At 58.2% G+C, this 16,493-nt stretch overlaps 1 protein-coding gene across 1 annotated transcript in view, besides 3 other annotated features; it reads left to right on the top strand.

Moving 5' to 3' along the window:
• Positions 1-4,528: 4,528 nt before the first annotated feature.
• The window catches only part of RASGEF1A (RasGEF domain family member 1A), a 72,531-nt gene continuing 60,566 nt past the window's right edge, over positions 4,529-16,493 (top strand). The window contains exon 1 of the mRNA NM_145313.4: positions 4,529-4,749. The gene's annotated coding sequence lies outside the window, so the exon portion shown is untranslated. The remainder of the gene's footprint in view (positions 4,750-16,493) is intronic.
• Positions 5,024-5,899: an enhancer, noted in NCBI's record as "H3K4me1 hESC enhancer chr10:43761143-43762018 (GRCh37/hg19 assembly coordinates)". NCBI's record gives its function as "activates a minimal SCP1, AML or CMV promoter by ChIP-STARR-seq in naive H9 embryonic stem cells {active_cell/tissue: H9 hESC(naive)}" and the evidence as "EXISTENCE:reporter gene assay evidence [ECO:0000049][PMID:30033119]".
• Positions 11,444-12,227: an enhancer, noted in NCBI's record as "H3K4me1 hESC enhancer chr10:43754815-43755598 (GRCh37/hg19 assembly coordinates)". NCBI's record gives its function as "activates a minimal SCP1, AML or CMV promoter by ChIP-STARR-seq in naive H9 embryonic stem cells {active_cell/tissue: H9 hESC(naive)}" and the evidence as "EXISTENCE:reporter gene assay evidence [ECO:0000049][PMID:30033119]".
• Positions 15,457-15,646: a silencer, noted in NCBI's record as "silent region_2324". NCBI's record gives its function as "represses an Ori minimal core promoter by ATAC-STARR-seq in GM12878 lymphoblastoid cells {active_cell/tissue: GM12878}" and the evidence as "EXISTENCE:reporter gene assay evidence [ECO:0000049][PMID:35858748]".

The following is a 16,493-nucleotide window of genomic DNA, read 5'->3' as shown; positions in this document are numbered from 1 at the left end:
GGACAATATCTGTGTCACAGTAAACAGTGGGTGTCTGAAGTGTCATTGATGTACAGGTTTTAGCTTCCATAGCCAGCAGAAGTTCCTCTACCTCAAAGCCCCAAAGGAAGCAACACTCAAAGTACTGCTGCGTCCTGCTATGCAGATATCCTTGGAGATGTGCCTCCCATCCCCCCTTTCCCTGAATCTGGTGGCCAGAACACCATCCTGCAGAAGAGTGCCTGCCAGGTAAAAACAGAGGTGGTAAAAGGAGGTTGAAAACCAAAAACTCATAGGCAACACCTGAATGAAAAGCGATGAGAAAGTATTCACAAAAGCCCCCTAATTATATTGGAGGTTAAAAATTATTTTTTGGCTGGGCATGGTGGCTCACGCCTGTAATCCCAGCATTTTGGGAGGCCAAGGTGGGTGGATCACTTGAGGTCAGGAGTTTGAGACCAGCCTGGGCAACATGGTGAAACCCCATCTCTACTAAAAATACAAAAAATTAGCTGGGTGTGGTGGCTCGCACCTGTAATCCCAGCTGCTAGGGAGGTTGAGGCATGAGAATCACTTGAACCCAGGAGGCGGAGGTTGCAGTGAGCCGAGATTGCACCACTGCACCCCAGCCTGGGCAATAGAGCGAGACTCCATCTCAAAAAAAAAATTAGTTTTCAATTTACATACAGTAAAATTCACTCTTGTTGCTGTGCAGCTACTTTAAGTCTTGACAAATGCATAGTCATGTGACTGCCACTACAAATCAAGATACAGGGACACTCTTCATGGTGCCTAAACATTTCCCAAGGCTCTAGCCAACACTTTCCCCTACTACTTGTTCCTCGCAGCCACTGAGCTGTTCTCTATCTCCACAGTTTTGCCTTTCTAGAATGTCATATAAAAGTTCAGTGGGCTGGGGGTCGTGGCTCATGCCTGTAATCCCAGCACTTTGGGAGGCTGAGGCAGGTGAATCACGAGGTCAGGAGTTCAAGACCAGCCTGGTCAAGATAGTGAAACCCCATCTCTACTAGATATACAAAAAATTAGCCAGGTGTCGTGGCAGGAGCCTGCAATCCCAGCTACTCGGGAGGCTGAGGCAGGAGAATCACTTAAACCCGGGAGGTGGAGGTTGCAGTGAGCTAAGATTGCACCACTGTCCTCCAGCCTGGGAGACAGTGCAAGACTCTGTCTCAAAAAAAAAAAAAAAAAAAGTCCAATGGATCATTTGAAGTCTGACTTATTTCACTTAACGCATCTGAGAGTTATTCAAGTTGTTGTATTGAATAATGGCTTGCTCCTTTTTACTGCTGAGTAGTTGTCCATTGTATGGATACACCACACACAGTTAGTTTATCCAGTCAGCCACTTTTGGGTTGTTTCCAGTTTGGGACCATACTGGAGATTTTCAGACACCTCTCTCAGGAACTGATAGAATATGAGATCCAATTAATTAACAATATAGAAGATTTGGCTTTGATTAACCAACCTGACTTAACTGAAATATACAGAATATTCACTCTTTTTCAAGGGCATATGGGGCATTTATCAAAACAGAACATATTTTGGGCCATAAAGAATGTATCAACAGATTTCAGAAAATCTCTGCCTGATGTGTGATTAAATTGGAACTCAGCAGCAGGAGGGTAGCTAGAAAATCCCCTAATATTTGGAACTAAGCAATGTCCTTCCAAATAAGTCATGGGCCAAAAGAGAAGTCAAAATGGAAATTTAAAAGTCTCTTGAGCAAAATGATAGTGAGAAAAAAACACCAATTGTGAGAGAGAGAGTAAAGCAGTGCTTAACAAGCAGATATATAGCTTTAAGTCCATAGAGTAGGAACGAAAGCTGAAAACCAATGAACCTACCCTCCAACTTCAGAAACTAAAAAGGAAGAAGGAAGGAATGAGAGAAAGACAGTTAATACTCCCCCAAAGGAGAGCTACAAACACAATGAAACTAAGAGCAGAGATTCATGAAATAGAAAGTACAACAGAGAAAGCTGAACAAAGTCAAAAGTTGTTTCTTTAAAAAAAATTATAAAACTGACAAAACCCTAACAAGACTGATCAAAAAAAGAGAGTGAAAAACACAGAGGTCCCCAATATCAGAATCCAAGTGGGACATAGCTACAGATTCTACAAACATCTGCGGGATAATATAAAAGATGTTATAAACAACAATATGAGGATGTCAGAAAATCTGAAAATTTAGAGAAAATGGGCAAAATCCATAAAAAACACAATTTGCAAAAGTTACATAGGAAGAAGCAAATAATCTACATGGTCCTATATATTAAAGAAAATGAACCTGTCATTAAAAACCTTTCTACAGTGAAAATCCAGGTGCAGAGAGCTATTAATATTCTCACTGAATGGGTGTATTCTTATTGAAAATTCATGGAGCACAACTTTATGATTTTTGTCTATGCATGTTATACTTACAAAAAATTATCCTTGGGAGGCTGAGGCGGGAGGATTGCTTGAGCCCAGGAGTTCGAGGCTACAATGAGCTATGATTGTGCCACTGCACTCTAGCCTGGGGGACAGAATGAGACCCTGTCTCAAAAAAAAAAAAAAGCTATAAAAGTTTACTTAAAATGAGTAAACAAATAAATAATATGGGGAGTGGTAGGTGGGCATACAGATGAAACAGAATTGGCCATGTATTGATAATTGTTGAAGTTGGGCCATTGAGTTTATTGTATATACCTTTTTAGCCGTTACTATTATAAGCGTTTAAAATCTTACATAATAAAATATTGTTTGTAAAAAATAGTAAGATCATATTACTTTGTGCAAAACCCTCCACCTCCCTCTGAGTCAAAGCCACAGAGGGCTGATGGCTGGCCAGGCTCTTCGCGATATGGTCCACCTGGCAGCTCCTGCAGGCTCCTCTCTACCACACTCACTCATCTCCACTTGGCCTCCTTCTAAGGCATCCTCCACCTCAGGGCCTTTGCATGTACTGTTCTCTTTGCTGAAAATGTTCATTCCTCGGATTCAGCATAGCTTGCCTCAGTTAGGTCTTAGCTCAGATATGATCCTTTCAGCCAAGATTTCCCTGATCACCCAAAATAAAATCCCCAACCCAGCAGGGAAGGGTGGTGGTGAGAAACTACAGTTCTAGCTACTCAGGAGGCTGAGGCAGGAGGCTCACTAGAGTCAGGAAGTTCCAGGCTGTAGAGCATAGTGATTGCACCTGTGAATAGCCACTGCACTCCAGCCTGGGCCACACAGTGACACCTCCCCTTAAAAAATAAAAAAGAATCCCCCACCCTACAAGCTCCCCTCCCCCTCCCTTCGCTGGCTCCCTCTCCCTGCTGGGCCTCTCTGTGGGATCTGCAGCATCTGACACATGAACTATTTATGTGTATTTTTATTCACTGCCTACTTCCCACAAGAATGCAAACTCCAACCAGACAGAGACATTCACAGCCGAATCCCAGTGCCCCATCTTACACCTGGCATACAGGTGTTCAAGACACAAGGACTAAGTGAGTAAGCAAGGTCCTCAGCCTCTTCAAGGGGTGCTGTGGGGCTCCTCCCCATTTTTTCACACAGACCCCTCCACCTGGGGACATCGTCGCCCCAGACCTGTTTCTCACTGGCCCTCGTCTGACTGCCTGCAAGAGTCACTCTGGGCCACCCTGGGGTCAGGCCACAGGGTGTCCGTTCAAGAGAAGGTGACCCTTCAGAGCGACAGGAAGTTCCAGTGGACGCCAGAAGACCTGTGTCCTGCTTTAGTGGTTCTGAAATCTTTCAAGGTGGCTTTGGAGCCTTGCTCTGCCACTTATAGGCTCTGAGACCCTGCAGGGTAACCGCACTCCCTGTGCATCAGTTTACTAACCTGTCCAATGGGAACAAATCCACCACCGACCTTACAGGGCGATTAAGATGGTTAAGGGGAGTGACCCAAGGGGCCAGGACTTGCCCACAGAAGGGCTTTCACCGTCTGATTCCACTGACAAAAATTTTGCCAGCTCTGCGGGAGTCCCCAGAGGGCCTTTTAAATGCGGTGGCCGCATCGCCTCCTAGCTTGTCTGCTGCCTGATCCTTTTTTTTTTTTTTTTTTTTTTTTTTTTGAGACGGAGTCTCACTCTGTTACCCAGGCTGGAGTGCAGTGGCGCGATCTCGGCTCACTGCAAGCTCCACCTCCCGAGTTTACACCATTCTCCTCCCTCAGCCTCCCGAGTAGCTGGGACTACAGGCGCCCGCCACCACGCCCGGCTAATTTTTTTTTTTGTATTTTTAGTAGAGATGGGGTTTCACCGTGTTAGCCGGGATGGTCTCGATCTCCTGACCTCGTGATCCGCCCGTCTCGGCCTCCCAAAGTGCTGGGATTACAGGCGTGATGCCTTATCCTTTTTAAATGAAAGCCTGGCCGCCCTCTCCCGGCGCCCGCCCTGTCCCAGTGCCCTCTGCTCGAGCCCCGTCCCGCGCCCTACCTCCCCCTGCACCTTTGCCCCGCACCCTCCTCCCTCCGCGTCCCGCGCCCGCCCGCTCCCCCGCTCCCCGCGCTCTCGCGCCCGCTCCGTGCCCGCTCGGCGCTCGCTCCGCGCTCGCTCGTTCGCTCGCTCGCTCGCGCTCCCCGGCGCCGGCTGCGGAGGGAGCTGCTCTGCCCGCAGCTGGCGCAGCGCGGGGGCGGCCGCGGGTGGGCGGGTGCCGCGGGCCCGGGCGCCGAGCATGAGCCGCCGCCGGCGCCGGCCGCGCGCTGCTCGGGGCCCGACTGCGGCGCGAGGGCGGCGCGGGAGCGACGCTGGCCCGGACCGAGGTAGGCAGCGGCCGCGGACCCTCAGTGCCTCGGGGCCCCCGCCCGCGCCTGGGGCCGTGCCCTCCGGTCGCCGGCGCGGGCAGGGCGCGGCGTGCGCGGGCCCGGGGTCCCTCCCGGCGCGGCCGTCGTGGGGCCGGGGCGCGGGCTCCGGGCGCGGGGCGGGGGACGCGCGCGGGGAGGGCGGCCGGGATCCCGGCGCGCGGAGTTGCTGAGAACTCCGCCCCGGGCTGGACGGCGCCAGGACCCCCTGCACCCTCCGCCCCTTCAGGGCACCTGGCGGGCCGGGCCGGGCCGGGCCGGGCGTGGCAGGAGCGCACGCGGCGGGCGGGCGTGGGCACTGCGGGCAGGTTCGCTGCCCGGGGCCTGGCGTGGGGGTGGGGGCTGGGGAATCGGAGGAGCTCAGGGCTGCGCAGTTGGAAGTTTCCATTTGCTCTTCTGCATTCTGGGCCCCGCCGTGGTATCTCACGCCCTTGCTGTTTGGCGAGGAATTGGGGCTTGAGCTCTGCATTTGGGGGAGAGGTCCAGGGCCATGCCAGGTGTCTCCCTCTCCCTGCTGGGCAAGGGTCATTTGAAGGACCACGCTCTCTTTGCCCCAGGCCTTGCCGGCCCCAGGAACGGGGCAGGTGCAGCTGGTTCTGGTCCGAGGGTCGGTGAGTGAGAGGTGGGGGCGGGAGTCCCCTGCTGTGTGTGGAGGGACGCGCTGGCAGGTTCCTGTGCCCTGCATTTCTGGCTGCCTCTGGGTGCTGGACCTGGTGGATATTTACAGAGAGGCCGCTGCCTGCCTCTTGGGAGCCACCTGGGGGCAGAGACCTGGTGGTGGCCGGGGCTCCCTCCCTCCCTGCTCAGAGCAGTGAGCTTCTCCCTGGTTCACCCTCCCCACCACTGCCACTCTTCTCCCACTGTCCTGCGCAGGAAGGGCCCCGATGGCCGTCGGCCGCAGGATCCTGAAACACAGGAGTCAGGCTGGGTGCAGGGGAGCCTCCCAGAGGCCTTGGTTCCCTCTGTCCCCCCAGGGTTCTCCCGCCCCCTCCGGATGCAGTCTTGCCAGCCCAGCCTGTCCACCTCGGTGCCCTGGACTCTAAGCGGCTCTAGGGGGCCTCCAGCCGAAAGGCTACAGGTCTTGATTCGTGAACCACGGGCAGGCTGCAGGCTTCTGAGACTCAGTTTCCCCATCTGTAGACTGACACGGTTTTGATGACCTCTGAGGACATTTCCACCCTGATGTCCAGTGACACTTTGCTTTGGAACCTCAGGACCCCAGCCCAGGAAGGGGAGATCCGGAGCAGGGGGACATGGAGGACCTTGGCTGGATGGCCAGGGACACGTGGGTGGGTTCTCTGCCCCTCCAGCCAGTGTGTGTCCTTAGGGCTGTGGGTGGTAGTGACCCAGCGAGGCGGGTGCAGCAGGCCCACACTCCCTGCTCCTGAGAAGGGCATGAGCTGTGTGGATCCCCCAGGCTCTCTAGTGAAGTAGAGAAGCTGTGTCCTCCTGCACATGCCCCTGGGTTTGTGAACCAAGCAGGTATCCCAGGTGTGCCTTGGCCTGAAGGCCAGCCAGTGAGTTTGTTTTTCTCTGGGAGGCATCTTCGAGCTGCCAGCCGGATGGCTCCCTTCCACCTGGCAAATCGTGGAAATGGAACAGTTCACACAGAGCAGAGGGGTTTTTTGGTGTAACTTAGCAACTGCAGGCAGGGGAGGAGGAGGAGGAGGGAGAAATGGCATTTGTGCTGGACAGTGGCTGCGGTGGGGAGAGCCACGCACACAGTGGCCCCCAGCGGTGGGAGGGGCCAGCCAGGGAGGAGAGCGAGTGGGCACTGGGACACAGTGTGGCCAGGAGCCCCTGAGCACGCCGGTCCCCACCTGTAGAATGATGCCAGGGGCAGGATGGGACAGCTTTGGTTGGCCTTTGGTTTTTGGCAATAGAACCGTGGGTTTCACAGAAGCCCTATTTGTCAAATAGGTCAAGTGAAGGTGCTGTGCCAAGGCAGGGATGGGGGCAGGGGGTTTGGCCCCCCCACTGTCCTCAGGAGAGGGGCTGGTGGAGGGATGCTCTTCTCTGCATGGCCCACCCCAGGGGAGGGGCGCTGGGCTGCTGGGGGTAGGTGCCAGGGGCATAGCAGATAGCAGATGGGGAGGAGACTCAAGGCATTCTCCCCCACCCCTCCCTGCTGCCCCTTGACGGACCCTCCCTCCCCTTCCCCCTTTTTCTCCTGAGGCCATCTGCTTGGGTCCGGCACTCTGGCTGCTTTTCTGTTGGAGCTTCCAATCTGCCTCCTGTAACTCCCACCCACTCCAGCCTGCCTCCCGGCTCCTCTGCCCTCCCCTGCCCACTCCCTGCTGGGGAGGATGAGTGTTTACCTAGCAAGGGTGTGATGTGCGGAGGGAGGGGACTGAAGTGGCACTGGTGGGCTGACAGCCATAGAGGAGGGCCTCTGATACCCACTGGTGGATTGCTGGGGGTGTCAGAGGCCCTCCCCTATGGCTGTCAGCCTGACCTGCGGGGGTCCAGAGAGGGCTCACTGCCCACTTTTTGGGTGTATCCCTGTCGCCACTTTTTGGGCACAGAGCCTGGGGCTGTGGGTATGTGAGAGTGGGCTCTGGGCCGGCCCAGAGTGGCGAGCTGCCAGGAACCCATGCAGAATGTCCCTGCGCGCTGGGACACCAGGAATTCCCCAGCTAGCAGCCCGGGAGCAGGGTTTGGGAAGGTCAGCTGGTATGGCCAGCAGTGGCTTGGCGGGCACTGTGTGAAGGGAAGCCCGAAAGCCCCTCGGGGTCCTGGCCTGCTCAGAGTGGGAGAGGGGCTCTGGCCTCAGGGCTCACCACCTGGGACAGGCTGGTAGAGGCTGCTCCAGGCACCATGACAGAGGGCTGTGAGGGGTGACCGGCCAGGAGTGGACAGGTGTGAGGACTCAAGCGGGGCCTGTGCTGTGATGGACGGGGTGGGGGTGTGACTGCTGCTGTGGCCACCCCTGCCCGGTGGACCATGGAGAGGGAAGCCAGGCAGGGAGAGTAGTCCGGTTGTCCCGGCTCTGCTGCAGCACCTCCCAGGAAGCACATGGGTGCCTTTGGGCACAACTCAGGACGACACCCAGTGATCCTGTTCTGGGAAGCTTCTCCCCACCTGTGGTTGCCCGCCCTGCCCTGGGCACTGCCCGGGCTGGGGTAGGGGCTGAGCTGCCGGCCTGTGCTGCCCAGGGCAGCCAGCAGGGGCTCCGAGACCTGCTTGTCTCTTGTGAGCTGGCTGTGGGGTTCTTTGTGAATTCAGGGAGCAGAGGCCAGCACCAGCTTGAAGAAGAGAGGCCTGGGCTGGGACTCTAGACAGAACAGCCCAGGGTGGGCACTTCATACGTGGGATGCAAAGATGTGGCTGTCCGGTTGACAGGTGCTTTTCCTTTTTTAAAAACAACGAAACTTGCTCAGCCGTCCGCACCCTGGTCGCCTGTGCGGGCTGACTTTGAAGACATGTTCTCTGCTCACTCTGAATCCTCACTTCCCACTCACTCCCACCCACGCCAATCTGCACACACCTCCTTCAGTCCAGGGATGTCTTCTTGAGAGGCCGTGGATGTCCACTGCCTTGTTCCCAGACACCCATTTCCTGGGCTTGGCCGGCCCCTGGTTCTCCTCCTCCCATCCTGGGACACTCAAAGTCCCTGTTCCTCAAGACCTGGGCTCAAACCCTCTACCCAGCCACAGCATCTGTTCCCTCCTCCGTGCTGATCCGGTTCCAGCTCTCATCAGCCCCCACCTGTCCTCTGGGTTCTGTCAGTGTGTGAGCCTGCTGGACGCCTCCCGGGTGACGATGCACATCATCACGCCCCTGAACCTTGCCTGCCCCAGGTTCCCCATCTGAGCAGGTAGGCAGCTGGCTCTCCCTCACCCCCTCTGCCAGCTTCCCTTTGCCTGGAGTTGTCAGCCAGTCTAGCACACCCCACTCTAGACCTCTCTTCTGCCCCTTCTGCCTCTCCCTGCTCACTGCCACCTCTGTGGGCCGGGCCACCATCCCCTGGCCAGGACATTTGCAGTGGCCTCCTTACCCAGCAGTCTGTTCCCCTACTCAGGGCATGGCTTCTGCTGGGTCTCCCTCCTGCCAGGAGGCTCCCAGCCTTCCTTGGGTGCCTTCCTGAACTTTCCTGCTGTGCAGGGGGCCCGGGGCTGCTCTGCAGCAGCCGCCTTGGGTGTACTTGTCTATGATCCCCTGGGGTCTAGTCTGCACCAGGCCTGTTGGAGCCCAGCCACGAGACAGTGGCTATGCTGGCAGATTCAGCGAACATCCGTGGGAGGTGCATGGAAGTGCCTGAGCCACCGTGCATGGTGTGGCAGAGGTGCCTGGCCTGGGCCACGTTGCTGCACCCACGCCAGGGAGAGGAGAGGAGAGGGAAGCAGACCTGAGAGCTCTGGGACAGTCTGGGGGGCTGGTGTCTGGGGTCCTGGACCAGGAAGGAATCCTGGGGGGTGGGGCTGGGAGGCCAGCACCCTGTTTGTTGTCACCACCACTTCTGTTTCTCCAAGTGTCACCCTCAGACTCTACCTTGAAGAGAGAGTTCTCCCTGGATCTGGTTGCCATGGCAACGCTGTTAACAAAGAGTAGCTTCCGTGGAGGAGGCTGGCGGGAGCTGGGAGAGGAGAGGGGGCGCGTTCTGATGGTTTATCAGCAGGGCTTGTTTCCCCACCCCCACCAAGGCTGCCCAAATCTGGTGGACCCTCCCCCACTCTCTCTGCCCATGGGGCTCTCCAGGTCTCTGGTACCCAGACCCGCCAAATGTGAATGTCAGGCAGCCTTGAGTGCATCCGGGTGTGTCCTGGACCCCAGCCACAGCTGGGGCACTGGGGCAGGCCTCCTCCTTGGGGCCTGGGGAGACATGCCCAGCCACAGCACCAGGTACTTCCCAGGATGAGGATCTGCACTTTGTCCCTGTACAGACGCAGACTCCAAGGTCCAGATTTCTCCTGCCTGGACTTCTCTGTAGGCTAGTTCTGTGCCCAGCTTTTTCTGGCCGGTGCTCTGAGCATGCCCTGTGAGCCCTGCTTCTCCCAGGGCTGTGGTCTGGATGAAGGTAATGTGCAGCCCCGAGCCAGGCTCTGGGTGAGAGCTGGGCAGCCCCGGCTTTGCTGGCTGAGGAGAGGAGGGTTGGCCCCAGTTGCTAGGACCCAAGCCTCTGCCCTCAGAGCTGGGGGAGGAAGGGTGGGCTGGAGGCAGGGTGAGTGGACCAGCTGGGAGGATGGGGCTTGGATGAGGTTGGGAGTTCTGGGGGTGCCCTGATGCTTTCATGAGTTAATTACTCAGAGCAGGCAGGGGGCTGCATCAATTATTCATTTTATTATTGCTGTTAGCAGTGGGTGGCTGGATGAGGAGTGGAGTCCCCCACTGGCGAGGCCAGGCCAGGTGAGCATTGGTGGCACCTGGGAGAGCCCAAGTCCTGCCCACACTGTCCATTGCAGGCAGGGCCCTTCCTGCTCAGCCCCGCTACGGGGACAGGGCCTTCTATGCCCCGTGCCCCTTCCTCCTCTGGCCTAGGTGTTTCTGGGAGCTGGGCTTACCTTGACCAAGCTGGAGTGAGTTAGACCTGCTGTGAGGTGACCTGCAGGTACCTGGGCCAGATCAACTGCCCTGCGGGGAGTGGTGGTGGTGGAGAGGGCTGATAGTAAACTGTGCTGGCAAGTATGGCCAGGGGTCCCAGCTGTTCTTCATGGAAAGGCCACGGCAGCCAGAACCACTTCCCAGAGGGGGCGGGGCCGAGGGGGAGGGCGCTCCCACATGGGTGGGGCCTGGAGGGGAGACCCACAGCTGCGGTCACCAGGCACCCACCAAGCCTGGTGGGTGCGCACAGGCTGAGCAGTCAGTGCTGGCTCGGAGATGCCCGCACAAATGTCAAAGAAGCTGCTATTCGGGCCAAGTGTTCCGACTACAGTGCAATTAAGAGAGAAAGTGATAACAAAATAGATAACTCTAAAAGAGTTGTATATTTAGAAAATTTGAAACACATGTTTGAATGATGGGTCAAAGAAACAATGGAATAGAAAGTTTGGGGTTAAATGATAAAAATAGAATGCTGAGCGCTGTGGATCACGGCCGTCGAGGGCTACATGCCCTGCTGCCTGCTGACGTCTGGAGAGCCCAGTTGTACAGGAGAAGTCCACACCCAGGTGCCTTCCTTGGCTCCCGCAGTGGGAAAGGTGGGAGGGGGCGGGACAGTGGCCAGGCCTCCTATGGGCACGGGAGTCTGCCTGCTGGGGTCCTGAGAGGGGGGCGGACCCTAGCTTCTCCGTGGGGTCTGGGTCTGGGGAGCCACTTGGCCCTGCCCGTGGGGACCAGGGTTCCACAGTGGCTCTCTGGCCTGCCATAGCACCCAGGGTTGGACTCCAGGGCAGCACAGTGTTCTCAGCCCTGGGCAGGACGCCAGATGCATCCGGTGGTGCACCGAGTGCAGAGCTGTCTTATGTGAGGCAACCGGGGACGCTGTCAGGGGAAGACACAGGAGGGGATCTCCAGGACAGCACCAGTGCCAGGCAGGGCCCAGGTTGCAGAGTGGAGAGGAAGGAGCAGCAGGTGTGGGGAGGCTGGTGCCCTCGGTCCACCCTGCCGGTGCCCAGGCCTGGGTGTGGTGTACAGTCATGTGCCTGGGGGCTCTGGGTGTACACATTCATTCTGGGTGTGTGCATTTATACCCAGATGCTGGGAGGGCCCCTGACCAGCCTACTGTCCAAGGGCTCTGCTGGGCGTTTCACTGACATGTGACTTAATGTGCCTCTTTTTGATGCCAGCATCATTACACTGATTTTGCCAGTGAGCCTCTGGGGTCTGCAGAGAGGGGCAGAGGCAGAGGTTGAGGCCAGGTCGCTCCCGTGCTCTAGGGAGCATGTTAGCAGGTGGTGTGGTTCTCTGGTGCCTCCCTTCATCTCTCCGAGCCTTCCTGCCGTCCCCGCCCTGCCCCTCCGTCCAGCTCCTGAGCTGGCCATCCCCCTTCCTGCCTTTGTGAGTGGTTTCCCCTGCCTGTGTGCCTCCTGAATGCACACTCCCACCTTGGGGCTCAGCTGGATGGCCCCAGTGGGGAGCACCTCCACCTCCTGGAGGTGAGGACGCCCCCCTCCTCTGGCCTATTGAGCCCCTGAACGTGCAGCGGTGGCACCTGGCTTCTGAGTGCTTGTTCTGTGCCCTCTCATCTCGTTCCTGCCTGTGAGGGCTATGACTCAGTGCATGGGCTGGGGATTCTGATAGAAGGGGTTTAGAGAGGGTATGCTCTCAGGAGACATCTGTGTGGGAAGGACAAGCACCATGCAGGGAGAGGAGGAGGCTGGACAGAAGTGCAGTTGTAGCGGAAGTCTAGCCTGATTCCATGGGGACTCCGGAGTGTCAACTGACCCCACAGCTAGCCTCCCTCTGAGGCAGGGGAGTTGGAGTCAGGCCCCTGCACTGCTCGGCCCTTGGATGCTGGCACTCCAGTCTTCTGCAGAAGGCTGCAAGTGTGGATGACTGCTGCACAGCCCTGGGGGAGTCTGGGTAGGGCCCAGCTGCAAGTCCCAGGGGCCACTGCTACTACCCCCAGAAAAGAGGCTACCCGCTGTGCTTGCAGGCCCTCAGCTGGTCCCTGGGGTGCTCAGAATGCAACCTCAGGTCCAGCCTGCTCCTGCATCCCACAGCACTGCCACACTGCATGGATATCTGTCTTCCTGGGGTCACTGTGAGTGTCTGTGGGTTCTTCTCTGTGCTCCTGGCTGCCAGCCCTGGGACCAAGTGTTGTGCTGGCATGAGGAGCTTTGTCTGTTTGTCCAGGGAAGGACTGACTGATGGTCATGTTGTCAACTCTGGGCTCAGGCTGCATGGGCCAGAGATGGGGGAACCAGAGACCAGGGCCAGCCCCAGGCCAGTGAAGGCAGTGCAGGGTGGGGAGCACTGGCCGGGGAGTCTGGGGCCTGCACATCAGCCCCTGCTGCAGCCTTCTCTCCACTCTGGCCCCCAGCTGTCCTTCCCGGGCCTGGTGGTCAGGAGGCCCATGTGCCCAGTGAGCTCTTCCAGCTTGCCAGGAGGGCCAGCCCAGGTGGCAGCACATGAGCTGCCCTGAGAGCCCACCAGGCATGAAGAGGCTGTGCTGAGTGGGTGGATGGTGGGTGTGGGTGGCACAAAGAGGAGACAGAGGCAGTCCTGCTCCTAGGGGCTGGCCTGTGGGGCATCCATCCAGCAAGCCTGCAGCTCAGTAGCTCACCCAAGCCTGCTAGGCTCTCTGAGGCTCCCTGCTGGTGGTGCCCCTCGGCCCACCAAAACTGAGCTGCTCTCCTCGTCCCAAGGGGCCAGCCGCCTGCTGTGGCCTGCAGCTTTGCCCCAAGGAAATGCACTTGTCCTCTGGTGTCAAGCGCAGAGTGGCAGATGGCCCTGAGGTAGGTGGGGCACTGGGTTGGCCATGAAAGAGGAGGGCAGGTGGCATGGGGCAGGGGAAGTGGTGACCGAGGCTAGACTTCACCCTCCTGCTGCCATATTAGGAGGGGCGACTTCACCTTCCACAGCCCCCTCACCTCAGCCTCCTGAGAGGCCAGGCCAGCCATGGGGTCCTCCCGCTCACAGAATCCCTCACCTCAAGATGAGACACTCCATACCCACCCACTCAGATGATGGAGGCTGCAAAATTGAGTTAAACGAAACTGCGCCTCCCTATCTTTCAATGAAGAGTTGACTGGCGCAGGGTTCTGGGGGCTCCAGCAGGCAGACCTCCATGAGGGTACCCCTCCCCGAAGCTGTGAGCCACCTAGTATAGAGGCAGCTTTCGCCTGAGATCCTGAATGGGGAAGGAGTTCACCCCAGATGCCCACTGGAAACCTGCCCAGCCTAGTTGTTTTCTGAGCCTCCTGTAAATGTAACACTGGAGGCCCTCATGTCCTGGCCCAGGCAGCTGCCTTCCCCTGCCTCGCCCTGTCTGTCCTCTCCAGGCTGCAGCTGTCTGCCTCGGCCAGAGCACTGGCTGCCTGGATGGTGGGAGGAGTGTCTGTCAGTCCTAGGGGACACACCTTTCCCTGGCTAGTGGGGACAGCCATGCAGCCCTGTGGGAGCCCAGGGGAGAACCCCTGGCCTCAACCAGACATTATACAGCACATGTGAAAATGGTCAGTGCAGCATAATGCAGGGCCAGGGCTGGCTCTGGAGAATGTGAGTCCCAGGCCTGCTTTAGAATGGGGAGGGCACCGCTGACGGGACCCTGGACCCTGTTGTTGCCCATCGCTGTGTGCAGTCACTACCCCCTGGGGAGGCCCGGGGGAAGCGCAGGGCACTACGGGGTCTGAGAACATCCCCACCCTCCTAGGAAGGAGAATGTAGCTTGCTGGAACCTGCCTGCAGGCCAGATGGGACTGAGGTGTGGAGGAGAGGCCCCCAGGCGGCAGAGGCAGGCCCAGTCCCAGAATCCTGCCTCCTGGGCGGGACCTGTGCTCCTCCTTCCCCACCAAACACTGCATGGGTGGGACTCGCTGGGCAAGGCCCCATGTGGCTGATGAGCTGCCCACCTGGTGAGGGGTGTCTAGACACAAGTGGGCCCAGGGTGGGCATGCAAATCATCACCAGTGTGTCAGCGAGGCTTGGAGGGGTCAAGAGTCCTGCTGGTGCTGATAACGAGAAGTGGCCAGTCCAGGGTGTGAACCCAGGCCTCATGGCTCCTCCCTCTTGCTGTGACCTCTGGAGCCATGTGAGGGATTCTGCAAGGTGCTGCTCACCCTCACCCCCACCTGAGAGATGGACTCAGGCAGAACCATTGGAGAGTGGAAAGTTGACCTGGGGAGAGATGTCGGATCACAACCTCACCCACTGCAGGCCATGCACGCCAGGCATGGCCCAGACTCTGGGAGTGCAGACACAACCTAAAAATAGACAGAAATGAGCCTAATGATTCTGGAAGGAGGGAGAGGTGCCAGGAGGGAGCGATGAAGGCAGCCACCCTGGGAAGGCCAGGTTTGGGCAAAACCATGAAGGGAGGAAGGGGGTTTCCGGTTGTAGAGGAAACAGCTGGGCCCCAAGATGGACTCCTGCCGGCAACCAGGGAATGGCAAGAAAGTCGGGGAACAGAGGCCCGGGGTTTCATGCCACCTTCACGGCTCATCTGTGTCTGTGTGCAGATGGCGCGAGTGGGGGCACTGCTCTGTGGCTGTGGTGTGCGCTGGTCCACACCAGACACATCCTCAGCCCCAACGTGGAGAGAACCAGGGACGGGAGACTGTGTGGGGGAAGCGGCTGAGGTCCAGAGTCGCACTGAGTGTGCAGTGCCCTGGAAGCCGAGAGAGGTAGCCCATGCATTACAATGTGGGCAGGGATCCTGGAGAGGCCACTCTGGTCTGCGTATTTGACCTGCTGCACCTCACTTTCTTCACCCACCTCCCTTGGCTATTGATTCACCACCCCCTCCACCCCCAACCAGCCCTTTCTTTCCCTGAGGTTCCTGTTCCTGTTCTTCTTTCTGCCTGTGACAAGCCGCTCAGCCCTTGTCCCATCTCTGAGCACATGGTCCAGGGAGGACACAGCCAGTCACAGCCGGATCAAGAACCAAGCTCCGCACTGGCTGCCTGGATGCAGGCTGCTGTGTGTTCTGGGTAGGGGTTGGGGGACTCCAGCAGCACCTGCCGCACCTGCCCCCGCCTGGCTTGCCTTGTCCTGGCTCCAGGCCCCCTCAGCATCCTCACTCCACCTGTGGCTTGTGGGGCACAGTGTGGCCAGGACAGTCATTAGCATGGGCTCCCTAAAGTCAGTTCACTCTGGGTCCCCTGGGGGCCTCCTCCTGCACAGTGCTCCCCCTAGGCTGGGGATGGCCTCTGTCTAAACACTATGGTAGCTCTAGGGGGCAGGAGAGAGCAGTCAAGCTGAGAGGGCCTCCCTGATCACAGGCGTGCAGCTTTAGCATTGTTGGCAACCAGGGGAGGAAGGAGGGCATCGGAGAAGCCCAGACCACACTGCACCCCCACTCTAGACTGGTGCTCCTCTGGGGGAGTGGGGTGCCAGTGGGCAGACAGCGCCAGGAGCCAGCCCAGAGAAGCCAAGGGTGACAGGTGCCCAGGAATGGCCACACACCCACCACCTGGTGGTCCTGAGCCAACACTTGTGCCTACTCCCACCCCAGCACCCCCAGCCCTGGCTCCAGGGTTCCCCTGACATGGGAGTCTGGGTTTTGGTTTTAACTCTGGCCCTGACCAGTGTCCTGTGTCCTTGGACAGACACTTCCGGTTTCTGGCCTCAGTCTGTGCTGCTATGAAATGCCAGTGACACTCCTCACCTCCTCAGAGTGGTGGCTGCAGAGGGTACATGGCAGAGCTGTGATGTTCCTGTCCTGCTCCAGGTGCAGGCTCTGGGCAGGGCTGTGAGACAAGGAGTGAGGAGTGTGCCTGCCCCCAGAGCTTGCAGCCTAAGAGGAGGTGGGGGCAGCTGTCCCCAGCCTTTGGATGAGGGTGCAGCCCTGGGGCTGGGTCAGGACAGTGGTCAGCTCTCTCACCTCAGCCTGCCCCACTGTCCAGGATATCCTGGAGCCGTCCAGGCCCAGATGGCAGTGGGTGGGGCAGGAAGGAGCGATGCTGAGTGGGCAGCCTAGGCGGGCAGGGCTGGGCGGCTTGGCCTAGGTGGTGTGAGGGGCCTGGAGGGCGCTGGGGCCTGGGTGGGGCCGTGCAGCATAGTGACTTTGGGAGATTTCCTGGATCCTGCTGTCCTTCCTGCTGGGCATTCCCACTGCAGCCAAGCCCGACACCGGCTGGAGGGGCTGGGCTGGTGGGGCTGGACTC

Source organism: Homo sapiens, chromosome 10 (assembly GCF_000001405.40).
Source record: "Homo sapiens chromosome 10, GRCh38.p14 Primary Assembly".
NCBI classification, from domain to species: domain Eukaryota; kingdom Metazoa; phylum Chordata; class Mammalia; order Primates; family Hominidae; genus Homo; species Homo sapiens.
The sequence above is the reverse complement of the archived record's forward strand: the minus strand, read 5'-3'. Positions and strand labels throughout refer to the sequence as shown.